The sequence below is a fragment of the Homo sapiens genome, chromosome 12 (assembly GCF_000001405.40).
Source record: "Homo sapiens chromosome 12, GRCh38.p14 Primary Assembly".
Taxonomy (NCBI): Eukaryota; Metazoa; Chordata; class Mammalia; order Primates; family Hominidae; genus Homo; species Homo sapiens.
The window spans coordinates 39,615,295-39,642,149 of record NC_000012.12 but is presented as its reverse complement, the minus strand read 5'-3'; the positions used below and the strand labels follow the sequence as shown (position 1 = coordinate 39,642,149).

The window sequence follows — 26,855 nt, the reverse complement described above, 5'->3', positions numbered from 1 at the left end:
TCTCACTTGGTAAAAACAACTAGAAAACAATTTGAAAAGAACTAGAAAACTTTCAGAAACTAAGTAATCAAATTTTAACTTGAAAACAGTCATTAAAAAGGAACAACCAGAGAGATAGAAATAAAATCTGGAGAATGTACCAAAGAAAGATCAGAAAGAATTTGCTTTGTGTAGGAGATGACAACGTAATAAAATAAATCGGACTGACAAATATCCTTTCAATTGAACAGCATAAAGTTCATTGTTGACTTTAGCAAGATGACTGAGAAATGAATGGGATGCAATATAAAAGGGGATAGCTGGGAAGGAAAAGAATCCAGAGACTGCCACTATCCTGCTTTTATAATATCACTCCATTGTTTTTATTGAAATTTTACTACCTTTGATCATATTAACATTATTGGGTTTTTTTTTCTGTTTTAGAACTTTATATAAAGGAATCTTACTGCTTATATTCTGTGAGTTTCTTCTTTTGCTCAACATTATGTATTTGAGATTCATCTGCATTAATTATATGTAGCTTATACATTTGCACTGCTATGCTATTACTTGCATATGCCATAATTTGTTTAACCATTCTACTATTCTACTGCTAATGGATGTTGGGACAGTTCTCTTTCCCTCTCCTTCCTTCCCCTTGCCTGTCTTCTTTCTCCATCTCTCTCTCTCTGTTTGCTATTTCAGCATAACAATGACCCAAACAAATCTTGTACATATCCAAAAGGGCACATGTACAAGGGTTTCTTTGCTCAGTTGTAAGGTATATACATGCTCAGCCTTACTATGGAATGCAATCAGTGTAATAAAAAATAAAGACAAAATAAATGGAAGTAGTACACAGGTTATGACACCATTACTGTACATCATTTATCTAGGTAATAAATGATTATTTAAATTAGAATACCAATACTCAGGTAGTGAGAAGTGGTCAGATCTGGGATACATTTTGGAATTAGAAGGACAGCAGGAATCAACAATGATCTTTAAGTCTCTGACTGAGCAAAATACGTGGCTAATCAAGCTATCAACAAGGATGTAGAAGACCAAAGGAAGATGGCCTCCAGTTTCACTTAGGTGAATGTATTAGTGGTAGAAAAGCACTTCAAGGTTATTAGTCTCATAAGGCTGACAAAAATAAAAACACTTTTTCTTTACCTTTTGCTTTCTTCTTTCCTGCTTGATCAGAACCCTGGACCTGAAAAAAGCAGCAGAATAAAATATATAGTGATCAAAGAAATGGCCTTTAAGACAACTGCCAGTTTAGCTTAATTGAAGATTTAGAGTTAAAATCTAAAAGTGTAGTATCATTGCATTTTTTCTGAAAAGAAACTATAAAAATATTCTTAAAGTATTTATAGTATGAAGTTTCACAAAATTTTCTTAGGAAATCCAATATCTAATAAAAAATACTGCATGTCAATGATGAATAATTAAGTATAAAATAAATCTGAATTCTAATGCTAAGATAAGCAAAAAAAAATGCATTGGAAAGAATATATCCCTGAAACATTCTTATCTGATAGCAATATTCTCTGTCAACATTCTTCTTTTTCTTTGTATTTCAACATTCTACTGAAATCTACAGAGAACAGAGAGGAAGTTGAAATCTATTTGGGATCTAAGGAAATGTGAAGTGTATTGCTAGAGCAACATCAGTTACGTTAATATATCAGCCATATGTACTTGAAATTTCATATCTATGTCTTAATATGTTCAGGCTGCTATAACAAAATACTATAAAGCCAGGGAGCTTACCAAGAAGAGAAATTTATTCCTCACAGTTCTAGAGGCTAGGAAGTCCAAGATCAAGGCACCAACAGATTTGATATCTGGTGAATGCCCACTTTCTGGTTTACAGATGACATTTTTTTGCTGTATCCTCATTTGGTAAAAGGGGTGAGCTGACTCTACGTAGCCTCTTTCACAAGGGTATGAATCTGAATCACGAAGACACTGCCCCTGTGACCCAATCACCTTCCAGAGCCATCCCCTCCTAATATCATCACCTTGGGAGTCAGGATGTTAACATATGAACTTGGGGGAAAGACAAAAATTGAGACAACAGCATCTTCTTTAAAAAAAAAAAAAAAACCTAGTAGTTCTGGATGTGCTTTGTATCTATAATCCTTGAGCCAAATACAGCACTGAAGACCAATGATAGTGCAGTATTTAATGGTTATAAGATATTTGTTCTATTAATAACAGCGGAACACTATAAAATATTCATGACAGTATTACCAGATTTACATAACTTTTAGACATGCATAACACTATGGTCTCAAATTCAAGATTTATGTAAGAATAAGTAAAATGACACTGTGTCTTAACTGTATACTATCTAATATCAAAATAATAATTGCTAATACTAAATAGCATATATCTTCCACCATTCTAGACACTTCAGACACTTTACATGTATAAGCTCATTTAATTCCATGGCAACTCTGTAAGGTAGGTTCTGTTTCTGTACCCACTTTACTGATGAGGAAACTAAGGCAAAGACAGGTTAAGTAACTTCCCCAAGATCACACTGCTTATAAATGGTAGAGGCAAAATTGAAATCCAGGGTGTCTGATATTGGAGTTCTTAGCCAAAACTGCCTTTCAAGTATGTCAACTGAGAATATATGAAGTTGTTCATTTTTCCCAGTGATTTTCATAAACTTTACCAATGACAATTACTGAATACCCCTGACTTTGCTACTTATTGAATATGTTCTTTAATATACTTCTCATTAACTTTGTTCCCCCATGCAAGAACTAACCAGGCTCAACCCTACTTAGTTTCTGAGATCAGGCACGTTCAGGGTGGACTCGCTAGAGTCCAGCTGACTCATTAGCTATGTCTTAATTGACTATTTGAACTCATTGAGCAAAGAACCCTATATATTCTGCTGCATGCAGCATCATAAGTGTACTGCTGCCATTCAAACTTTACAAAGAAAAATGAAAAAAAATTTCATTTTACCGACTTATTTGCTAAGACTAAGGAGGACCTGAGAAATCAGTTTATTCTCCATCATTTTAAAACTCACAAAGCTTATGCACAGAAAGTAAAGTGACTTTTCAAAGTTCAGAAATATAAAAAGTATAACAGAGCTGGCAATATTACGCAATCCAGACTAAAAAGAGATAACAAAAATAAATGTTTATTGTATAAGCAGTTTCCATGTTATAGAGCTCAGTAAAATTAAGAAATCAAAGTAAATATAGTCTTCATATATGTATGCATTGTGTGATTTTATTCCAGGCTGATTTTCTCTTATCCAGGACATTCATGGCTATCACCAAATTCTACATACTACTTAATGCCCATCCCTATGTGCCTAAGAAAAAAATTAATTAGGTATTTAAGACCAATATCGACATCAGCCTAGCAATCACTAGACTGCGGTGAAAATGAAAAAGGATTCTGACATATATGTCAAAGGTCATTTCTTAAACAGAACATTTTAGATTATTATTAAGGCTATCACTGTTATTAATAGAATGATATGTCCACATAAACTAAATATTGTCCCGAATATAGTCACTCTCAATTATTTGCACTAAAGAAGAAGAGTGCATCAGTCAGAATTCTTATAAGCAATAGAAAGTATATTTGGCTGATTCAAACAGAAAATAAATTTATTAAAAGAAAAATGGATAGCCAAACAGATCTGCTGAGAAGGCATGCTTGTCAAATGGCAAGAACAAGGAAGTCTAGGCAGTTTTGGGAATATGGCCAAAATCATGCAACAATTATTCTCATAAGGATACCACTGCTGGCACTGGTGAATACTGGATACTGCTGACTATACCATTTCCACTCCTGGACAGCACTTCCCCTGGCATCTCTGTCCCTGAAAATTCAATCCTGCTGCAGCTCCTGCAACTGCCTACTACAAAAACAGATGCACTGCAGTCCCTGTTTTCTTGGGTCACTAACTCCTGATTCAATGTACAAGGCAAGAACACCAAAATTGAGCTTAGATCATGTATCACTAGCTGCAAAACAGACTGGGAAACAAGTCTCCAGGCTTGTTTATTTGTTTTTTGTTGTTGTTGTTTGTTTGTTTGTTTTTTCGGCTTCTATAGAGGAAGGCAGCCTGTACCTAACACCAAAACTCCTAAGGTGGTAGACAGATACACCACACATAAACAGGGGCCTCAGATACTGGTATGCCAAAGAACACAAATGTCTACTACACTGCTACAATAAAATGAAAATAGGTAATGATCCAAAGGTCATTTTTATTTGGCTATGTCAGGATATATGTACTCCTTAATAGTTGCTTCTTGTGGTTTGCTTAGGCTAATATAAAAATAAGACAACCGTAATAAGAGACTATATTCCCTAAGTAGTAGGGGAAACTAACCAGAACTTTATATATGACAAAAATAAATTATAATTAAAAGGACTTGCCAATGAATCCCTAGTAGTCATTGCTAAAAGCATTCCACACTGACTACTGCAGTATTATGTATGTAGTCAACTGTCATAATTACATTGTAAATGGTCTCTTTGATTTTATGCAAATGTTCTCCAATATATTTTACTACATAAGTAATTGCTTTAAAACACAGCTCTAATTATCATTTAGGGATATGACTTCCATAGCATGCACCTACTTAGCTTTCAACGTTGTTTTACATTCTTCGACTTATGTACTACAACACTCAACCAAACTAAAATATGTGTTTCTCTAATTTTTGTCTTGAAACTTAAATTACTAGAGGATTGGGAGTGAGCTAGAAAGTGGGAATGAGGTTCATCTTTTTTAAACAGTAATTACTACGTTATTCTGGAAAATGAATTTTTAAAGAAATATGTACAATCATCTCTTTCAATGAAAGTTTGAATGAACAATATTAGTTGTCATTATAATAGGTATTGATTCAAAATCATTTTGTACTTAAAAGAAAATTGGTAGGTCATAACCTCTTCATAGAATCCTCCACAAGTTATCTATTCTAGATAGTAGTAATATAAATATTTGTTACTTTATTCTTTGCTAAGAAAGAAAAAAATTAAAAACAAAAAAGTATAAAGGGGTTAAAGGAGAGAAGGGAGGGAGAAGGGAAGAGAAAGGAGAGAAAGGAGAAAAAAAGGAGTAGAGGGAGAGGGAAAAACAACCATGCTAATTACAGAAACGCATCAGGGCATTTCTGCTCCTTGCTATTACTTCTAGTAAGGAAAGGTTTAAAGGAAAATGCTAAAGAAATACTTTCTTTTTTAAAAAAATTAAAAAGACACAAATGCAATAAAGTTACCAAAGAAATGTTTAAAAAAACACTAACATGTACATTTTACATGGAGTATGCAAGAGATATTGAAACTGTATTAGGAATTAAAAACTATGAGTGTCATATAAACACCATATACTGTCAGTATTAACTTGTTCTTTTTTGCTTCTTTTGTTTTATTTTGCTTTTTAGTTTCTTCATCAGTTTGTTTTCTTAGGGGCATTGTGTCATGCAAAAGAAACTGCTCCAGACTGTTAAGCTCTTATAATAATATCTTAAATTTGATGAAAAGTGGAAAATTTAAAGAAAATTAATAGCCCAATAATTAGCAAATGAAAAACAGTATTTTATGGTTTCGTGACACTGAAATTAATATTAATTTAAAACATGAAAATCTAACATTGTTAGCTGGTAGACTTATTAACATTCAAGACAGTAACTAGCCTAGAAAAAGTACTTACATTGGCTTTCCACAAAACTAAAGCAGGTCGACCTGATGTGTTAGGAATAGTAATGATATATGTTAGAATGTTATGGCTTTTAAGTAACTTCCCTTATAATGCAAAAGAAAAAGTTTTCACATAAGTATGAATTACCAAAAAAAGGTATTAAGGAAAAAAACGTTAAACCAATAAAGCAAAAATTCATCTAATATTTAGAATACAGAGCCTAATTAAAATAAGTTCTCGGAGACCGAATTCTTGCAGTATTTTCACACAGAAAACACTGTTCCACAGCTACAAGCTGTAATCATAAACACGAACAGCCATTTCCCGAGTCACACAGTGGAAGATATTTCAGAATGCAAATGACACTCCAACACATAAGTATATTTCAAGCTATTTGCATTATCACTAGTTCAAGAAGAAAAAAAATGAATATACTCATAGTTCCATTAGTACTATCTCTAAAATTTACAAATAGTCTTGAAACATTTAACATATTTTCATCAAAATAACTAAACTGGTTTTTAGATGCAATTTGGCAACTAATTTTATAGGTACAAACTTCGTAAGATTTCCACACAAACATTCCTGATAGTCTTACAGGTAGCTAGACATGGATTTGAATTTTAATAAGCAATATTATAAATACCATAAAACCTCTACATCCCTAAAACAAACTTCTTTTTTTAATACTTTAAGTTCTAGGGTACATATGCACAACATGCAGGTTTGTTACGTAGCTATACACGTGCCATGTTGGTTTCCTGCACCCATCAACTCATCATTTACATTAGGTATTTCTCCTAATGCTATCCCTCCCCCAGCCCCCCGCCCACCAACAGGCCCCAGTGTGTGATGTTCCCTATCCTTTGTCCATGTGTTCTCATTGTTCAACTCCCACCTATGAATGAGAACATGTGGTGTTTGGTTTTCTGTCCTTGTGATAGTTTGCTGAGAATGATGGTTTCCAGCTTCATCCAGGTCCCCGCAAAGGACATAAATTCATCCTTTTCTATGGCTGCATAGTATTCCATGGTGTATATGTGCCACATTTTCTTAATTCAGTCTACCATTGATGGACATTTGGGTTGGTTCCAAGTCTTTGCTATTGTGAATAGTGCCACAATAAACATACGTGTGCATGTGTCTTTATCATAGAATGATTTATAATCCTTTGGGTATATGCCCAGTAATGGGATTGCTGGGTCAAATGGTATTTCTAGTTCTAGATCCTTGAGGAATCGCCACACTGTCTTCCACAATGGTTGAACTAATTTACACTCCCACCAACAGTGTAAAAGTGTTCCTATTTCTCCACATCCTCCCCAGACTCTGTTGTCTCCTGACTTTTTAATGATCACCATTCTAACTGGCATGAGATGGTATCCCATTGTGGTTTTGATTTGCATTTCTCTGATGACCAGTAATGATAAGCATTTTTGCATATGTCTGTTGTGTCTGTTGGGTGCATAAACGTCTTCTTTTAGAAGTGTCTGTTCATATCCTTTGCCCACTTTTTGATGGGGTTGTTTTTTTTTCTTGTAAATTTGTTTAAGTTCTTTGTAGATTCTGGATATTAGCCCTTTGTCTGACGGGTAGATAGCAAAAATTTTTTCCCATTCTGTAGGTTGCCTGTTTTACACTGCTGACAGTTTCTTTTGCTGTGCAGAAGCTCTTTAGTTTAATTAGATCCCATTTGTCTATTTTGGCTTTTGTTGCCATTGCTTTTGGTGTTTTAGTCATGAAGTCTTTGCCCATGCCTATGTCCTGAATGGTATTGCCTAGGTTCTTCTAGAGTTTTTATGGTGTTAGGTCTTACATTTAATTCTTTAATCCACCTTGAGTTAATATTAGTATACAGTGTAAGGAAAGGATCCAGTTTCAGCTTTCTACATATGGCTAGCCAGTTTTCCCAGCACCATTTATTAAATAGGGAATCCTTTCCCCATTGCTTGTTTTTGTCAGGTTTGTCAAAGATCAGATGGTTGTAGATGTGTGTGGTGTTATTTCTGAGGCTTCTGTTCTGTTCCATTGGTCTATATATCTGTTTTGGTACCAGTACTATGCTGTTTTGGTTACTGTAGCCTTGTAGTATAGTTTGAGGTCAGGCAGCGTGATGCCTCCAGCTGAAAACCCAATCGTCTCAGCCCAAAATCTCCTTAAGCTGATAAGCAACTTCAGCAAAGTCTCAGGATACAAAATCAATGTGCAAAAATCACAAGCATTCCTATACACCAATAATAGACAAACAGAGAGCCAAATCATGAGTGAACTCCCATTCACAATTACTAAAAAGAGAATAAAATACCTAGGAATCCAACTTACAAGGGATGTGAAGGACCTCTTCAAGGAGAACTACAAACCACTGCTCAACGAAATAAAAGAGGACACAAACAAATGGAAGAACCTTCCAAGCTCCTGGATAGGAAGAATCAATAATGTGAAAATGGTCATACTGCCCAAAGTAATTTATACATTCAGTGCTATCCCCCTCAAGCTACCGCCGACTTTCTTTACAGAGTTGGAAAAAACTACTTTAAAGTTCAAATGGAACCAAAAAAACAAACTTTTTAATATAAATCTTTTAAAATGTAATTGCTGACAAGAAGAAAAAGGGTAGATAATGAACTGAGACTATTATAACGCTTACAGTTAAGTTTCAAGGAGTAAAAAAATCACACACTGCGTAACGATGGTTCCGTCAAGGACAGACCACTTATACAACAGTGGTCCCATAACAGTATAATGATGCTGAAACCTTCCTATCATCTAGTGATTGCCTAGTTGTCGTAACATGGTAGCAAACATTACTAACATGTTGTGGTGATCCTGGTATAAATAAACCTACTTCACTGTAAGTGGTATAAAAGTATAGCACATACAATTATCTATAGCCCATAATACTTGATAATGATGATAAAAGACTGTGTTACTGGTTTATGTATTTATTATTACTATACTTATTTTAGCACATAGTCCTTCTGCTTATTAAAAAAAAATAGTTAATTTTAGAACAGCCTCAGGCAGGCCCTTCAGAAGGTGTTCCAGAAGAAGGCATTGTTATCATAGGAGATGGTAGCTCCATGCATGTTATTGCCCTGAAGACCTTCCTGTGGAACAAGATGTAGAGGTGAAGACAATGAGATTGATGATCCCTAACCATGTGAGCCTAGATTAATATGTGTATTTGTGTTTTCATTTTTAATAAAAACGTTTGAAAAATTTTAATAAATTAAAAATAGAAAAAACTTAGACTAAGGATATAGTCTTGTACAGCTGTTCAATGTGTTTTAAGCAAAGTGTTATTATGAAACAGTCAAAAAGTTAAAAAGAATTTGTAACAAACCTGCACGTTGTGTACATGTACCCTAAAATTTAAAATATAATAATAATAAAATTTAAAAGAAAGTTTATAAAGTAAAAAATGTTCCAGTAGCTTAAGGTTAATTTATTACTAAAGAAAGAAAAACATCTTTAAACATAAATTTAGTGTAGCCTAAGTGTATAGTGTTTATAAAGTCTACAGTAGTATACAGTAATGTCCTAATGCTTCACATTCACTCACCATTCACTCACTGACTCACCCAGGTCAACTTCAGTACTGCAGGCTCCATTCATGTTTTATATGGTATTTTTACTGCATCTTTTCTATATTAAGATATGTTTAGATACATAAATACTTACTATTGTGTTATAATTACCTACAATATTCAGTACAGTAACATGCTGTATAGGTTTGTAGCTTAGAAGCAAAAGACTATACCATATAGCATAGGTGTGTAGTAGACTAGACCCCCTAGGTTTCTGTAAGCACAGTCTATGATGTTTACACAATAACAAAATTGTCTAATGGTATATTTCTCAGAATGTAACCCTGCCACTAAGCAACATGTGACTGTATATGTATGTACAAATGTGAATGTATATATACATGCATGCATACATACATATATACATATATGTGTATATAAATATATACACATTTAAAATGTTATTTGTGGACAAAAATATTGGTTTTACTACGTTGTCAATCTCTAAAATATTTTATACAAAAACCATTTTCAAAAATAAACTTATTTCTGGCTGGGTGCAGTGGCTCATGCCTATAATCCCAGCACTTTGGGAGGCCGAGGTGGGAGGATCACCTGAGGTCAGGAGTTCAAGACCAGCCTGGCCAATATGGTGAAACCCTGTCTCTACTAAAAATACAAAAATTAGCCAGGCGTGGTGGTCGGGTACCTGTAATCCCAGCTACTCGGAAGGCTGAGGCAGGAGAATCACTTGAACCTGGGAGTTGGAAGTTGCAGTGAGCCGAGATGGCACCAGTGCACTCCAGCCTGGGCAACAGAGAGAGATTCCATCTCAAAAAATAAAAAATAAAAATAAATAAACTTATTTCTCAAGTTAACATTATATATATATATATACAAATTTACACATATATATGTAAATATGGGAACATTAAAGCAAAAACAGTTCTTTATATCAGTTATCAGAAGGTTAAACAAAAAGTATAAGCAGAAATATTTATTGTATACATGTGCTATCATCAATTACTTAAACTGCATATGTCTCTAACAATGTGTTACTCATAGTTTTCAGAAGAAAGCAATTTTTCAGTATTGATTCCTTATATTTAAATTCTCTTCATAAAATTGCCTGCAATGTTTAAAATTGCATTTCGTTAACAAATTTAAAACTGTTGAACTTTTAATCAACACTCTGCATAATTCACATTAACTGAGAAAATACTTTCTCTACAGATAATGAAGTACCTGGTAAGCTCAGAACAAATTTTTCCAAATGGAAGATACTATCCAATTTTTGTTTGTATATAAGTATTTAGCCCAAATATTTTCACAAGTACTCTTTGTCATTCCATTTATACCTTATTTTTTACAAGATAAAACTTGACAAATAAGCAGCAATATTTGATTCTTTTAAATATTTATCTAAATTTAGATGCTACAAAACTGTAGGCTCCTTCAATTGCATTCTGTTCTTCTACAAAAAAAAAATAACCAATTAAAAGTAGGCACTCCATCAAAACCTTTGTACTAGTCACAATATTCCAATATATCTGAATATCAAAAATATATTTTCAAAATTAAATCTTGTGCAGAATTAAATTTTAAAAGCCTTATATTCAATAATTATAATTTACTAAGAGCTTCAAAAGTTGAATTTTTGATCAGGCCATTCATGGAATGTTTTAAATAAAAATTTCCAACTGTTTTTGAACAAAATGCCATCAAAATGTAGAGTACCTGCTTATAAAAATGTTCAATAGGCCGGGCACAGTGGCTCGCGCCTGTAATCCCAGCACTTTGGGAGGCCGAGGTGGGGGGATCACTTGAGGTCAGGAGTTTGAGACCAGCCTGGCCAATATGGCAAAACCCCATCTCTACTAAAAATACAAAAAATTAGCTGGGCATAGTGGCAGGTTCCTGTAATCGCAGCTACTGAGGAGGCTCATTTTAACAGAACTATTAATGGTAGTTTATATTTAGTTAAAAAACAAACACTGAGACAAATGCTAAACTGGGCATGCTACTAGGACCACAGGCATAAACCTTGACCGTTTCAGGCAAACTAGGATGATGTTCACTGTACGTTTAAGTATTACCCACATTTAACAGACGAAGAATAAATTTTCAACTTCTTTGTCTAGCTTACAAACTCACCATCAAGCAGACATATGCAGACATTATCTCCAACTATTTAGGTAATGCTTTTCTGTTTTGTTTTTCTCCATCGAACCTTCTTTTGTCCTTGCCTCTGAGTAGCCAAACTCTCAGCTAAACCTATCCTATGTTCTACTATGGTTCACATTATTTATTTTTTATATCCTATTTTGGCCTCTGACATTAAATATTTTCTAACTTAATGGCAAGTCATACTTTTCTTCCCCAATACACTACAACCTTATAGAAAAAGACTAAATTTCAGTTACTTTGTACTTACACCTGGCACAGTGCTTGGTACATAGCACTCAATAATATCTTGCTTAGATGAACTAGGTCTAGGCCTACATTTACAAATGGTAACCTCTCCCTCACCTAAATTCCAACAGAACTTTGCCTAGGCCTTTCTTATGACATTGATTGATTCCCCAATCTGAATTATAAAAATAAACCTCCCTAATTTAAAAAAATCTTATACTGCATGTATAGTGGTATATTTATAGATCTATAGCCGATCTGATTCTGAATAGCATTTTGCAGACCAAAGTCTGGTTATATGTTCCTCCTTTCTTACTACCACCTTCATATCTGAGGTAAGTATGAATTTGGTGAAACTAGTCATTAATAAACAAGAAAATAAAAGAATCTTTTCAAAATTAAAAACAAATCAATGCTTACATATGTTGTCTCTCAAATCTGCACTTCAACCTGATTAGAAAAATACAGGGTCTCCGTGGTGCCTTCCAGCAAATATGAAACCAATGTGAGAGGTGTAGGTCACTAAGTCCCAGATAAGTAAAAAAAAATTTTTAACTGGTGGGACTGACAATAGATTGATATTTTAATTTTGTCAAAAAAGGATTAAAAATAGAAGGGGGCATTTTAGTATCAAAAAATTTAACAAGGATATAACTTCAGAAAAAAAGAAAAAAGTCCATTAAATTGAAAAACCTGCTATTATCATTGATTAGCAAGTCTCAAAGAGACAGTAGTTTGGGAACTACTATCATATACATGTAAATTAATTTCTTAGATCAATCTCTTTGCCCTCAGTGAGACCCTGGTTTGAAATGCACTGTTATGATATCTTGCAAAGATGGCCAAAACCAAAACAGTAAAGCCAAACTAAGTAAGCAACTAAAAAAGGAAAATAAGGGAAGCTTATTTCTAATCACTGGCTCTTTCCTTTACAAAAAGACATTTTATATATGACTGGTAAAGTCCCTAAATTGAAGAGCAGCAAAGGGTCAAATGCCCAGTTTGGTTTATATAAGAAAAGCTGTAAAGATCTTTGCAACTATAAAACTGTAAAGATATTGCTATCAAATGATTCTGCAATTAAACTCACTATATCAGGTTTCTATAATATACAAGAACAATCTACTTCAAATTAGTGTATGCAATCTGGTTGCTATTACTAAAACATAAATTTGCTTCATTCATTCACTTGAGAAAAAGTATATAGAGAGCCCTTTATTAACTGTTTAAGTGTCTTAATGCAGACTCACCTAGTATCGCAAACTAACATTTTTCAAGTTCCTTAATACCTTCCCTTCCAACTCATCTTTCTCTTTCCTAAGAAGCCTTGCTGAAACCTAGATCTCCAATTTGATCAATTATTTATTTCACCTCCATTTTAACTTTTAAGAACCAGTGTTCGATTGTTTCCCTTTGGTGCTTGCTCTGTGCACTATTTCTGTCCTTCAAGGCTTAGTGTAACTTCCTGTTTCTCATTTCTCTGAATTTCCACAGCCCTTTTTTGTGGTACTTTTATTTACTTTATTTGTGGCACTCATCTTTCTATACAGCATAGGATGGAGGGCAAGCACACTCAACTCAAATCCTAACTCTGCCATTTACTAGCTGGGTGCCTCTAGTCAAGTCACTTAACATTAATGAACTATGCTTCAGTTTCCCCATCAGTAAAATGGGAATAATATTTGTATATAAATCATAGCATTTTCAAGAGCAAATGAATAAGCACTTAGAACAGTGCTTGTGACAATATTAAGTCCTATTTAAATATCTATTATTATAGTGATTTGCCTAATTTTAATCTCTACTTTCTCTCCTAGGTTCTTTTTGTGGACTAGATGTATTTTTCTTTTCTGAATCCCCCTGTACAGCTTACCAATTCCCTAAACAGGTAGTCAGGTAAAAAATATATTTGCTGAATTACTTTCTGTTGAAGGCTCTGGAATTGTTCTGAAGGAATTGTTCTCCAATCACTTCACTTGTCTATATTTTAAGTTCCTAACAGTTCTTCTTAAAATGTTCAGCCAAAAACATCCCTAACAATGGAGGGGGGTAAAAAGAACTCCAGCATGGTTTGGGATAAAGATTAAAATTTCTATTCTATTAGCTCCATCAGCTGCCACTAGTTACTAAAAGCACTAGTTCAGACTGAGGCCCTTTAGGACACTATGAGTGCCAAGATCAACTAATCTTGTGTACCCTTGCCTGTTCTGAAAATAGAAAATGGAGACACCCATTTTTTTTTATTACCAATCTGGGGCTTTACCCTAAGAAGCCTATCCCGCCACATAAAATTTATTTAAAATTGCAGTGTATCTGAACATTTCACAAGAGTTTTTCATTTCACTCTACAATGCAACCATGTTTGTGTGAAAGTTGATCACACAAATTGAGTCATTCTTGTGATGTCCAACCACATCAGAGTTGAGATGTCAGGAGGCAAAAGCACACAGGGCACATAGCATTGCTCCAAAAACATGATTCTCTGCAAGCCAAGCTTCTGAAACTGCCTAGGACCAGTTATACCAAATAACTACTAAAATGACCTTCCAGGAGGTCATTTTAACTACCACCATCACCCACCAGTCAAAGCTTGCCAGCTTCTCACAACTTCACTACTGTCAATGAACTTTCTTTCAAAACCATATGTAACATTTCTCTTTTTTTGTAAAATCCCCACCCTTTTCTTTGTTCTTCAGACATACCAAAGACATACTTTGTGTATGCCCTGAATTGCAATTCTGCCATTTCCAAATAAAACGTTAAATTTAGAGATTTGTCTCTACATTTTATTTTGACTTCGACGTTTGTATAAATTTAAACACATATTTTCTCCTAATCTCTGATTAAAACTGATCCTTCGGGGAGATGTAACCATGTTTCTTAAACCCCCTGGTACCTAATATCTCCAGATGCTGCACCTCCAGGTGCTGCAGTACACCTCATTTTCAGAAACACAATCCTAGGTTACATGTTTCCTGCAGTATATTGTTTTTGCATCCTCCCAGTAGCAACTAAAATATTACTCCCAAAATAGCCATAAAAGTTTGTGATATATGACAGAATAATAGCAACATCTACATTTTAATAGTGCTAAGCATTTGTAAAATTATTTCATATAATCCTATTTAATATTTTAAAGAATACTAAATTCAAAAAGATCACATTATAAGCATGTATCAACTAAATCCTGTTGAAGCCTGTAAGTAAATTTTCACTTTTCTCCAGAGTACGTCTGCTGCCAGAACACTAGCCAGAAGTAATTCAGGTAAATTTCTAAAATACAATGCTAGCATATTCAACAGGATAAAAGTGCATGCTAAAATTATCAGGCATAGCTACAATACTTAGTGAATACAAAAGCTGTCTTTCCTCCGATAAATTCTTTAGAATTCAAACGCATTATAATCTAACATATAATTACTGTCCTGGGTCTACTTGTGACAAAAAAATTACATGTAATGGCTTCTTGTTTCAATCAAAACAATTCTTCTCATCAAGAATTTTGATCAAATGAAATTACAGGCCCACATGATTTCCACCCAGCTGGACTTTAAGGTCAATAACAATGAATAGGTTATATAACACTAAATTTTCAATCTATCACGCTTTATGTGATCAATCCTAAATACAAAATAAATGGCAAATTCGCTCAAGTTATTCAAGTAAAAACGGTTCACTTTACTTCCCCTTAAAATACAAACTACAATTTGGATTTATGGTGATACTGGTGCCCTGCCATTGATTTAAGTGCAGCTGGGACTGGGCTGTTTCACAATTTCCAAATTCATGCAAAGACTATATATCAACTCAGAAGAACCTAAAAGAGGTGTAGACACGGAAAGAAGGCAGTAGGGGAGGGCTCAGGTGCTAAAAGGCCTCATTACAGTAACAGAGCATAGGACATGGAGAAGGGGAGGAGGGGCAGCAGGGAAGGTTACTCACAGTGGCCCCCACAGGTGAAGCCTTTGTAAAGGCAGTGAGTGGGGAGAAGCTGAGTTACTTTTGTCTGAGGAGTAGAGATATGGTTCTAGAGTCTCCAACCCGATTTGGATAACAATAAAAAGACCCTTTCCTACCAAGTTCTTTCCAGCTAAGGCTGTGACCTCTCCGCCAGGAACTAGAAAGAGGAGTCGTAGGAATGAATGTCCCAGCCTCAAACTCCAGCTGCACAACTTACCGGGACCCCCCGACCCAATTCATCTTCCCAAATCTTTTGACACTGAGGTCCCTGTGTCTAGAGCTCAGACATCTCAGCTCTGCGCCAAATCGCAGCTTCAGCAGGATCCCCCAGGGCCTCCTGACAACGTCAGGGCCCGAGTAAGCTCCTTCTGGTCCACCGCCTGAGGCCCAACCTCCCAACAGCCTCTGCGGCTTCTGCGTGTTCCTTCCGGTCCTGATAGGGCCGCAAGGGGACGCTGCGGCAAAGCAGCCGACCTGGCTGACATCGTTTTAATCGCTGAGGCAAGGCAGGCCTAAATAAATGAAAGCCTAAATTTTTGACAGGGGCCACAGGATTAGTGTTTCAAAACACCTCCATCATAATTTTATCTAGTTCTGACAGGTCTTTGACGTCTTTTTCGAGTCAGAGACCAGACTTGAGAAAGAAAAAGAAGGCAAGGACACAGTTAAGGATCGCTAACCCTAAAAATGATGTTTCCCTTCCCATTTATTACCCCATACCCAAATTCCTTAAATATCCTTCATGTGCAGTTTTAATACTCCGTAAACAGGTGTTTATAAGAAACATAGCGCTGTAGTAAGTTACCATTCTGTGCATTGAGTTGCTAAGAGAGCTTAAATCAGGCCGGGCGCAGTGGCTCACGCCTATAATCCCAGCACTTTGGGAGGCCAAGGTGGGCAGATCACGAGGTCAGCAGATCAAGACCATCCTGGCTAACACGGTGAAACTCCGTTTCTACTAAAAATACAAAAAATTAGTGGGACGTGGTGGGACGCGCCTGTAGCCCCAGTTATTCAGGAGGCTGAGGCAGGAGAATTGCTTCAACCCAGGAGGGCAGAGGTTGCAGTGAGTCGAGAGACTCCAGCCTGGGCGACAGAGCAGACTCTGTCTCTTAAAAAAAAAAAAAAAAAGAAAGAAAGGAAAAAAAAGAGCTTGATCAAAACTTAATTAGATGTAAAAGTCCAAAGATGTTAAAATCCTTACTGAAAAAAAAATCTCAAAACAAAAATTGAATTATGCTATTTGTTTCTGTATTAAGTTTGTATATCCTTACAAAACAATTATCTTACAAACTGTCCTATATTATTTTGGTTAGAAACTAGGCATCTCTTCTTCCAAATACATGCACAAATTACATTTTTTTAAATTGCCATGTTTTTTTCCAGAACATAACCTGGGGAAGATTTCACAATTTGATATATAATAATCGATTTTTTGTTAAGTCATTGGAAAATAGTACTTAGAATAGGATTATGTCCCAGGGTAGATATCTTGTTTAATCACAAAAATCCTGTTTTTTATGACAAAATTCACCAAGGTGTATCTAAAATTGAATTAGACCAAGTGAATTCAGCATTTCCGAGAATATCAGACTTTGACATGGAGTTGTTTTTTCAGTAACAAAACCATACAGGCAAGGAAGAAGCAATGGCCCTGTGTATCAGCCTTTCCTACTTTCAACATTTTAAAACATATTGACTAAATTAACTGAAAGGGGAAATAATTTGCTAAGGGATTAACTCTTTTTTTCTTTATTGTGAGTAAAGGGACATAAGGAGAGGTTGACCAAGTTGTTGGGTAAAGAACTAAGAGCTGGCACTCCATTTGTGGGAGCCAAAAATTAAAACAATTGAACTAACGGAGATAGAGACTAGAGTGATGGTTACCAGAGGCTGGCAGTGGGGGATGGGGAAGTGGGAATGGTTAATGGGTAGAAAAATATATTTAGATAGAATGAATAACATCTAGTTTTGATAGCACAACAGGATGATTACAGTTAACATTTATTATACATTTTAAACTAACCAAAAGAGAATAATTGGAATGTTTATAACACAAAGAAATAATAAATGCCTGAAGTGATGGATACTTCATTTACCTTGAAAGATTATTATACATCTTATGCCTGTATCAAAATATTTCATGTACCCCATAAACATATTCACCTACTATATACCCATTAAAATTAAAAAGAAAAATACATAAAAATTTTAATAAGAACTGAGAGCTGGATGGGCCATCTCTTCCCCCTTACTAGAGTCACTTCTTTCCTTCCAGTCACAGGGAGGCAGTGAATTAGGCTAAGGAAAGATTAACCTATGAGATACATGTTCAGACAAGATATTTACTGGGTTTTCCTTCACAGAAAAAGACATTTCCTTATGAACTAGGTATTAGGTAGTTATGTGTAATAGCTGAAATGTTGACCTAAAATCTCATTTTCAGTGCTGTTTATGCCTCCATGAGTAAGACTAGCATGACTGATAGATAATAAGAGAGTCCAATGCTGTGCTATTTTAGGGCCAGTAGAGCAATTAGGTAATCTCTTGGGTCAGGAAACAGTTCAAGAAAGCAATACAGCACAGATGAAATACTATTAAGCATTTGTTGAAAAGGAAATCCATTCGAAATTCTCAAACCTTAAACAATTTATCTTTACCTATTTCTAAAAATTATTTACTTTCTGGATATTCATAATCTGAACATGCAACACATATACAATATACATTATACATACATTTATGTATATACATATATATAATTCTCTTTATTACAAAAAAATTTCTGATGTTTTACAGTTCATAAAACATATATAGTCTCTAATTTGTATTCTATATATATAAACTCCATTTAATTCATTTCTTTCATGGATATTGGTAGGGTACATGAGAATATCACACTTGAGAGCACAGTGATTTGAGAATTATTGATTTTAAAAATTATTCTCATTGTTTCTCAAGATCTTTTCTAAGAAGATTTCTCCCCTCTTAAGAAAATTTTAATAATCTCCCATATAAACACACTTGAAGTTGAGACGTTTGTGTGGAAATTAGGCCTAAGTATGTTTTTTACTACAGTAACAAAGATTTTTTTCTCCTCTTTCCTAGTTTGGAATTCAAACTAAATTAACAGTCTCTTAGCTTTAATTGCATACTGTCAATAGAAAAAAACTGAAAGAAGGCCGGGCGCGGTGGCTCACGCCTGTGATCCCAGCACTTTGGGAGGCCGACGGGGGTGGATCACCTGAGGTCAGGAGTTCGAGACCAGCCTGACCAACGTAGCAAAACCTCATCTCTACTAAAAATACAAAAATTAGCTGGGCGTGGTGGTGGGCACCTGCAGTCCCAGCTACTTGAGAGACTGAGGCAGGAGAATCACTTGAACCTGGGAGGCAGAGGTGGCAGTGAGCCTAGATTGTGCCATTGCACTCCAGCCTGGGCAACAGAGTGAGGCTCCATCCCCCTCAAAAAAAGAAAGAAAGAAAGAAAAGAAAAAGAAAAAACTGAAAGAAGTACCTTGACATTCTTAGTTTTTTACTTAAATGCCATATATTATTGACCTAATTGTCCATATGGCTTCCTGTCTTCTTGAATCCTTCCTCTGCCTTATCTGAAGGCTTGTGTCTAGTCTCAGACACTAGGACCAACTCTTACCCTTGAGAGCAGGGAGAGGTGAATGGTGGGAGTGAAATTTAAGTGGTTAGAGTTAGGTCTTCACCTAAGTGGCTCAATATCAAATCAAATTTCACGTTGACATTTTCCACACTTCAAGTAACTCACTTTCAACCTTCCTTGTACCACGATTCAGGTAACAAAATTTCTGTCTTGATCATTTTCCTCATAAATAATTCTTCATTCTCACAAGTCTCTCACTCCAGATGCTGAAAGCTTGTTCCTGCACTATAACCTCATTATCAGTTGGTAAACTGACCTACCTCCAGCTAAGTCCTATTTGAATCTCTAGTGTCCTTTGCTTCTAGAGTTCTCACTGCCATGCTCCTCCCCTAATATGGCTGTCTCTGGTTGTATGTATTGCAAACCACTTGCCTCGACTGCCAGCTGCTGTCTGCATCCTTCTGTGTACCATGTTCTGCCTAACAACATCCTGCCATCACCCCCAGTTAGGTTTACTCTGGCCTTTAACCTGTCCTGTCACTGCTAACCCTTTTGTGTGTAGCTGTTAGGAGATGTGACATAAATGAAAGGCAACCTTATCTTGCATACAACAAAAGCAAGAGCTTAGGAATAAAAGATTTTGGCAATAACTTCCATGACCACTATTATCTGTACATACAGGCTTAAAAAGTCTTAATGGGATGATGGATTATGCTACTAATATGGCCAGCTATCAAAAAAACTTGCATGAGTTTGACACTCATGTGTCAGTCAGTCTGCTGAATTGAATGCAAACAAATGAAGAGATATGTGATGATTGTCAGAATTAATATGAGTACATAAGAAAGAAGTTTTAAAATTTTAAGAATATGGTTACTTATGAAAGTGAGGATAGTTCTTTGTGATAAACTCAGTAATGAAGATCATTTAATGCTGAGATGGGTTTTATATTCTAGCACAGAGGTTTGCAAACTTCTATAAAGGGCCAAATAGTACATATTTTAGTCTTTGTTGCATCCACCACTGTGGCTTGAAAGAAGCCATAGACAGAGAGTAAATGAATGGGTGTGACTGTTTTCCAATAAAACTTTATTTATAAACACAAAAATGAGAATTTTATATAATTTTCACAGGACAAAATATTCTTGTTTTGAAGTATTTTCAACCACTTTAAAAATGTAAAAATCATTCCTAGCTTAAGGGTCATATAAAATTAAGTGGCAGGCTAGATTTGGCCCACCAGTTGTAATTTGCCAACTTCTGTTCTAGCTTGATGCATATTTTCCTAAGCTTTTAATTGACTGGAAATGTGTATGTATGTTGGGGGCCAGCTGCTGGTGAACAAAACTGGCTGTAGCTACTGAGCATACTCAGTGTCACTTAGAAATCCCCAGAAGTTTCAGAATATATATCACTTTTGTAAGATTTCAGTAGATACCACAAGCAGAAGAGCAAGCAGAAAGGGAGATTTCCGAGAATTTTAATGAGATGGGGGGCGGGGACAGTGAAGAGCAAAAAAAATGGTTTTTCCATATCCAAAAATATACTCAGCCCTGACTTAAAAAATGCTCTTGGCTGGGCGTGGTGGCCCACGTCTATAATCCGAGCACTTTGGGAGGCTAAGGCAGGTGGATCACTTGAGGCCAGGAGGTTGAGACCAGCCTGGCAAACATGGCAAAACCCATCTCTACTAAAACTACAGAAATTAGCCAAGTATGGTAGGCGCACCCTCGTAATCCCAGCTACTCGGGCTGCTGAGGCACCAACCTGGGAGGCGGAGGCTGCAGTGAGCTGAGATCGTGCCACTGCACTCCAGCCTGGGTGACAGAGAGAGACTCTGTCTCATAAAAAAAAAAAAAAAAAAAAAAAAAAAAGCTTTTTACATTTTCAAAAATATGCAGAATTGTCCTTGACTGTTGAACAATTTAAATCCTCCATTATGGATGTGAAGAATTTTAAGACTCTTAGTTTTTATCAAATAACCAAATGGAAATAGGAAGTAGCCAGTAGATTATCTCTACAGCTAAACAAAACAAACAAAGCAGAAACCTGCAAAAGACAAAGCATTCTTGAAAAATGAAGTAAGGTCCTAGAGAAGCTATTTCCACCATCCAACACCAGCTGAATTCCCAAATGGTTAAACTTTCACTATAAGTGCTACCCCACTCCAAGTAAAAACTACCTAACACATGGGAGTAGTAAACATGAAACATTGCTCTCATTTATTTAATAGTCGTCACCTTGTAAATAAATATGAGTACATCAGATCTCCAGTTATGGGGCTGGAAGATTTTTAGCATAAGGACAAGTAGGATGCAGAGGAAAAAGGGAGAATGGCTAGAGGCATAGCAAATAATTATTTTCTGTAACACGGAAGACTTTTATCCTATTTATTTACAAGGGAAACCCTCGATTACAACTTGTCTATTAGGTTCTGAGACCTTTTGTGAAATCAGACCCCCAAAAAAGCCGGGGGGATCTGTGAAAAACAGATCCAAGTGTATTTGATATTTGGCATTCTCCGGTGTCCCTCCCACTTGTCACTTTCTTTTCTGATCCGTTTCAGATTCATTCCATATCCTTTTCATATTCATTTTATGTTGATCCTCTTGTCCCTCCTCCCTCATTTTCGTGGTTCCTTCTCCCTCCTCGTCTCATTAAAACTCTTGCAAATCTCCCTTTCTGCTTGCTCTTCTGTTTGCGGTAGCTGCTGAAATCTTACCGAAGTGATGTATATTCTGAAACTTCTGCGGGTTTCTAAGTGACATTGAGCATGCTCAGTAGCTAGGGCCGGTTTTGTTCGCTTGGAAATCTCCCTTTCTGCTTGCTCTTCTGTTTGCGGTATCTACTGAAATCTTACCGAAGTGATGTATATTCTGAAACTTCTGTGGGTTTCTAAGTGACACTGAGCATGCTCAGTAGCTAGAGCCGGTTTTGTTCGCCAGCAGATGGCCTGATTCGACCTCTCCAAAAATAGACATTTTAACTCTCTGAACTCCTGTTTAAGGAAGGATGTAATTCGCTTTGCTCTCTCCTCATTTTCAAGGTTCAAAGGGAAGCTGCGAGGATTCCAAGGTCCCACCGCCCTCACAGCCAATGAGGGGCCTGGGAGGGAGGAGCTTGGTGCAGCTTGAGCTTCTGAGAGAATCATTCCCGGTAGATGCAGCGGAGTCTGAGCTCTGCTGCATCTGTCACAGCAGAACAAAATTAAAAACACAACAGTGGAAGAGAAACGCTGCAGACTATGGGACGCTGTAGGACTTTCTAAAACATTTGCTGGGGATTTCTGTGAAGCATGATCTTTTAAAACGAATTCTTTTGGAAGCCGGTTTGGGTAACTGGGAAAATGACACATATGCTAAATGCAGCAGCTGATCGAGTGAAATGGACCAGATCGAGTGCTGCTAAGAGGGCTGCCTGCCTGGTGGCTGCGGCATATGCTCTGAAAACCCTCTATCCCATCATTGGCAAGCGTTTAAAGCAATCTGGCCACGGGAAGAAAAAAGCAGCAGCTTACCCTGCTGCAGAGAACACAGAAATACTGCATTGCACCGAGACCATTTGTGAAAAACCTTCGCCTGGAGTGAATGCAGATTTCTTCAAACAGCTACTAGAACTTCGGAAAATTTTGTTTCCAAAACTTGTGACCACTGAAACAGGGTGGCTCTGCCTGCACTCAGTGGCTCTAATCTCAAGAACCTTTCTTTCTATCTATGTGGCTGGTCTGGATGGAAAAATCGTGAAAAGCATTGTGGAAAAGAAGCCTCGGACTTTCATCATCAAATTAATCAAGTGGCTTATGATTGCCATCCCTGCTACCTTCGTCAACAGTGCAATAAGGTACCTGGAATGCAAATTGGCTTTGGCCTTCAGAACTCGCCTAGTAGACCACGCCTATGAAACCTATTTTACAAATCAGACTTATTATAAAGTGATCAATATGGATGGGAGGCTGGCAAACCCTGACCAATCTCTTACGGAGGATATTATGATGTTCTCCCAATCTGTGGCTCACTTGTATTCCAATCTGACCAAACCTATTTTAGATGTAATGCTGACCTCCTATACACTCATTCAAACTGCTACATCCAGAGGAGCAAGCCCAATTGGGCCCACCCTACTAGCAGGACTTGTGGTGTATGCCACTGCTAAAGTGTTAAAAGCCTGTTCTCCCAAATTTGGCAAACTGGTGGCAGAGGAAGCACATAGAAAAGGCTATTTGCGGTATGTGCACTCGAGAATTATAGCCAATGTAGAAGAAATTGCCTTTTACAGAGGACATAAGGTAAGATAGAAATTAAGGTGATGGGTGAAATGTGAAACTGTTCAAGTTGCCACTGCAGTGCCAGATACCATCTGTTGTCCTGTCGATGGACCCACTTCTTTAGTGTCTTAGATTCCTCTGACATCTAAACCTGAATTAAAATATATGCTTCATTACCCCTTTTAACTGTAACCAGTTAAAGGATTATAGGGTGCAAACTTTTCTAAAGTTTCAGAAGAATAAAATTTGCAACACTCTAAAAAAGTCTACTTAGCCTCAGTTACTCAAATATGCTCAGAATTATTTCTAACGCATTTTCTTAAAACTTAAATCCCAACTTGGTAGGTCATCCTAAAGCACCTACCAGAAGAAAATATATATTTAGAAACTAAGACTAAACATATTTCCACTGAAATGGAAAATTTAGAATGATATTCTTTGTTGTTCCTTTGTTGTCCAAGAGGGGGGAAGAGCCAGGGTTTCTTATAGAAGACATTTTTAACAATTTTGCATGTCTGATCAATATGGAGCATCCCCATTCCCAAGAAGCGTAGGAGAGTGTCTCACAAAATGGCATTTCTACTACTCTTAGTTCATGTTCAGCACTGTACTTTGACAAAATGAAAAGAGGAAGTGAAATGAAATTTTGTCTAGCTTTGAAAAAAAAAAAAAGCTGAAATTAGAGAAGAAATGAGGAGTACAAAAGGAGTTTCAGAATGTTTTTAATTATTAAAGATTTTCAACATTAAGCAGATCCCTAAAACAATTAGCCCAATTATACATACTAACAGTGCATGAAGGTAACTTCAGAATATGAAATGACAGAAATTTTGAAGGCAATGCAATCTTAATTTAAATGACTTGGTGAATAAAATAAAGTATTCTACTGTTGAAGATGGCATGTCAATCACCAAGCAGAATTATTTAATTTTTAAAGCATCTGTAATTATCAGTGTCTTTAATAGCAGTAGCAACCTGAAAAATAATATTTAAAGTAAATTTAGGAATCCTACTCCCACTTGAAAATTGACCTCATATATTGTATTATATCATATTGATTTGTGATTCTTCTTGAACTATTGAATTCAATGATATAAATTATAGTGTGCTTAGACTTCTTGCATAAAAGACAAAATCCAACAAATTGAGTCAGTTCAAAAGTGGAGTCTATACATATATATGTCATGTGTCCATTTTCAGATATTTTTGGTGTAATCAACAAGGACAAAGCTCTAATAATTGTTTATTCATGTCTCATATAATATCATTTAATTTTAACATCTCATACATAAAATTTAAATATCATAACTATAAATTACTTATATGTATTTTATACCTAACATTATGTCCACTGAGTAGCATAAACTTTTAAAAATAATACACATGTGACCAAAACTAAATAATAACTAATACTGGTATTAATCTGCATTTATTGGTTAAGATGCATAGATAATGCCATACTAAAAAAAAAAAAGAATAATATGTATATATCTTTAAAAAAAGTCCTCAACTCTTTTTCCTCTCTATAGGTAGAAATGAAACAACTTCAGAAAAGTTACAAAGCTTTAGCAGATCAGATGAACCTCATTTTATCCAAACGTTTGTGGTACATCATGATAGAACAGTTCCTGATGAAGTATGTTTGGAGCAGCAGTGGACTAATTATGGTGGCTATACCTATTATCACTGCAACTGGCTTTGCAGATGGTGGTAATGACATTTATGCTTAATCTCAAATATATTTTTAACATTATTTCTTTTGAAGTTGTCATTGCTAGTTTTATGTGAGCTAAACTGTGTACATGGTCATATTCTAGTTAACAATGGTCCGAAACAATGGCAGACTTTACAGCGTCCAGTGATAAGACCAGCAGTATGAAATAAGGAGACAGTGGTTCAAAGACGTTCCCAGTTCTGAGCTATTTCAGAGATCTCTGATGCAGTGTTTCTCGGAGTTGACCTTGAGCAATTTTAATTATATTGCCTAATATAGGATGATTCTTTAGTTTACACTTAACCTCAGAATAAGTTAGTACCCTCAGAAAGAGTATAACACAAGCATTCCTCATGTGTTATAAACATTAGTTCTATACATCCCATACATTTAGTCTATAAATATTCTATAACTGAATTTGCCCTGCTTTGCGATTTGAAAAGTCCATTGACTACAATGGGCAAGCAGGAATATTGCTTCAGAGAATGCTTAAGTGCCATGGAATAAGGGCTCCTCTGCTTGTGAATAATACAGATAACCTCTTATGCAGCATGATTTGGTGGTTTTGTAGGAATGGTGGTTGTCAAGCTGCAGCTGGCTAATTCTATCCTACCACTGTCTCAACAGTTTTTAATAACAGTTTTTATTCTTTGGAATAACAAAGAAAGATAAGGGCAAGGAAGAAAAGACAATGTTAAAATGTTGTATCATCCTTGGATGGGAGCTTGGATCTTAATTGGTTGGAACAGAGAAGAATTAACTGAAGAAGTATTTTCTACTCTTTTCCTAAAATAAGACATCCCTCCTTAAAAATCACTGGACTAAAATTGGCCAGAAGCATAGGCTTTGTAGTGAAACAGAGTTTTGTTCAACTTTTGGTTCCCCCTCTTCCTACGTGTATCCTCTTAGTCTGTTTAATTAGAGTTGATTAAACTCTCTATACCTTAGTTTCCTCATTTGTAAAATGAGAACCAGAAAGGCTACTTCAGAGAATTGTTGTGAGGATTTAACTGAATAATGTTTATGAAGTACAGAGCATGTTATACTTGATATATGGTGACAATTATTACCTAGAAAATAAAAGGTGACAATTATTACCTAGAAAACTAAGAATATTGTTACAGAATCTGCACTGTTTTATAGTTATTTTGTACAGAATTAAGGATGAATAGTTATTTGTTTGAAGTGATCTAATAAAAACAATAATTATAATATGCCTTAATGTTTTGAAACAGTGCTTCAATGTTTTAACCAGTCCTTACAAAAACACTTGTCAAAGTTGAGTTATTCTTAACATAAATATGTTCATTTCAGTAAGTTAGTATTTGTCAGCCTTTCTTTGTGGCAAGTGTTATGCATATATCAATTATACTTCACAAATGAACTGTGTAATAGACACTATTTGTAGACCACTGAGAAAATTGAATTTTATCTGGTTTTATGTTTCAAAATTTACTAAAAAGAATTTAATTTTAAAAAGTTTATATTGAAAAAGGTATTGTTAGTAATAGTATTTTAGACATAATCCTTTCATAATGAAATAAAATTACTTTTTCAAAAGAGTATTAGCGAGAGTGACACTTTAAAATCTATGGTGTTAATATTAGTTTTACCAAAAAAAGTCAAAATTATCAGATATTCACTTAAAAAGTCATTTCTTAAAATAACGATACTCATTTAAAAAGTTTA

At 35.6% G+C, this 26,855-nt stretch overlaps 2 protein-coding genes across 14 annotated transcripts in view, besides 3 other annotated features; one reads left to right on the top strand and one right to left on the bottom strand.

Moving 5' to 3' along the window:
• The window catches only part of REDIC1 (regulator of DNA class I crossover intermediates 1), a 282,118-nt gene extending 266,151 nt beyond the window's left edge, over positions 1–15,967 (bottom strand). For all 4 annotated transcript variants that reach the window (NR_135051.2, NM_001031748.4, XM_005268806.4 and 1 more), the window contains exons 1-2: positions 15,791–15,967; positions 1,156–1,195 (exon numbers count right to left, since the gene is read on the bottom strand). Coding sequence is in view for 2 of the 4 variants with exons in the window: in NM_001031748.4 (NP_001026918.2) it covers positions 1,156–1,195; positions 15,791–15,813 (63 nt within the window). In the remaining 2 variants the exon portion in view is untranslated. The remainder of the gene's footprint in view (positions 1–1,155; positions 1,196–15,790) is intronic.
• Positions 20,727–20,806: an enhancer, noted in NCBI's record as "active region_6205". NCBI's record gives its function as "activates an Ori minimal core promoter by ATAC-STARR-seq in GM12878 lymphoblastoid cells {active_cell/tissue: GM12878}" and the evidence as "EXISTENCE:reporter gene assay evidence [ECO:0000049][PMID:35858748]".
• Positions 22,036–22,555: an enhancer, noted in NCBI's record as "active region_6204". NCBI's record gives its function as "activates an Ori minimal core promoter by ATAC-STARR-seq in GM12878 lymphoblastoid cells {active_cell/tissue: GM12878}" and the evidence as "EXISTENCE:reporter gene assay evidence [ECO:0000049][PMID:35858748]".
• ABCD2 (ATP binding cassette subfamily D member 2) overlaps positions 22,347–26,855 on the top strand; it is an 88,779-nt gene continuing 84,270 nt past the window's right edge. For 9 of the 10 annotated variants that reach the window (NR_182046.1, NR_182045.1, XM_017018992.3 and 6 more), the window contains exons 1-2: positions 22,347–23,473; positions 24,982–25,162. Coding sequence is in view for 8 of the 10 variants with exons in the window: in XM_017018992.3 (XP_016874481.1) it covers positions 22,535–23,473; positions 24,982–25,162 (1,120 nt within the window). In the remaining 2 variants the exon portion in view is untranslated. The remainder of the gene's footprint in view (positions 23,474–24,981; positions 25,163–26,855) is intronic. The other variant, NM_001412791.1, reaches the window with a different exon arrangement.
• Positions 22,866–22,945: an enhancer, noted in NCBI's record as "active region_6203". NCBI's record gives its function as "activates an Ori minimal core promoter by ATAC-STARR-seq in GM12878 lymphoblastoid cells {active_cell/tissue: GM12878}" and the evidence as "EXISTENCE:reporter gene assay evidence [ECO:0000049][PMID:35858748]".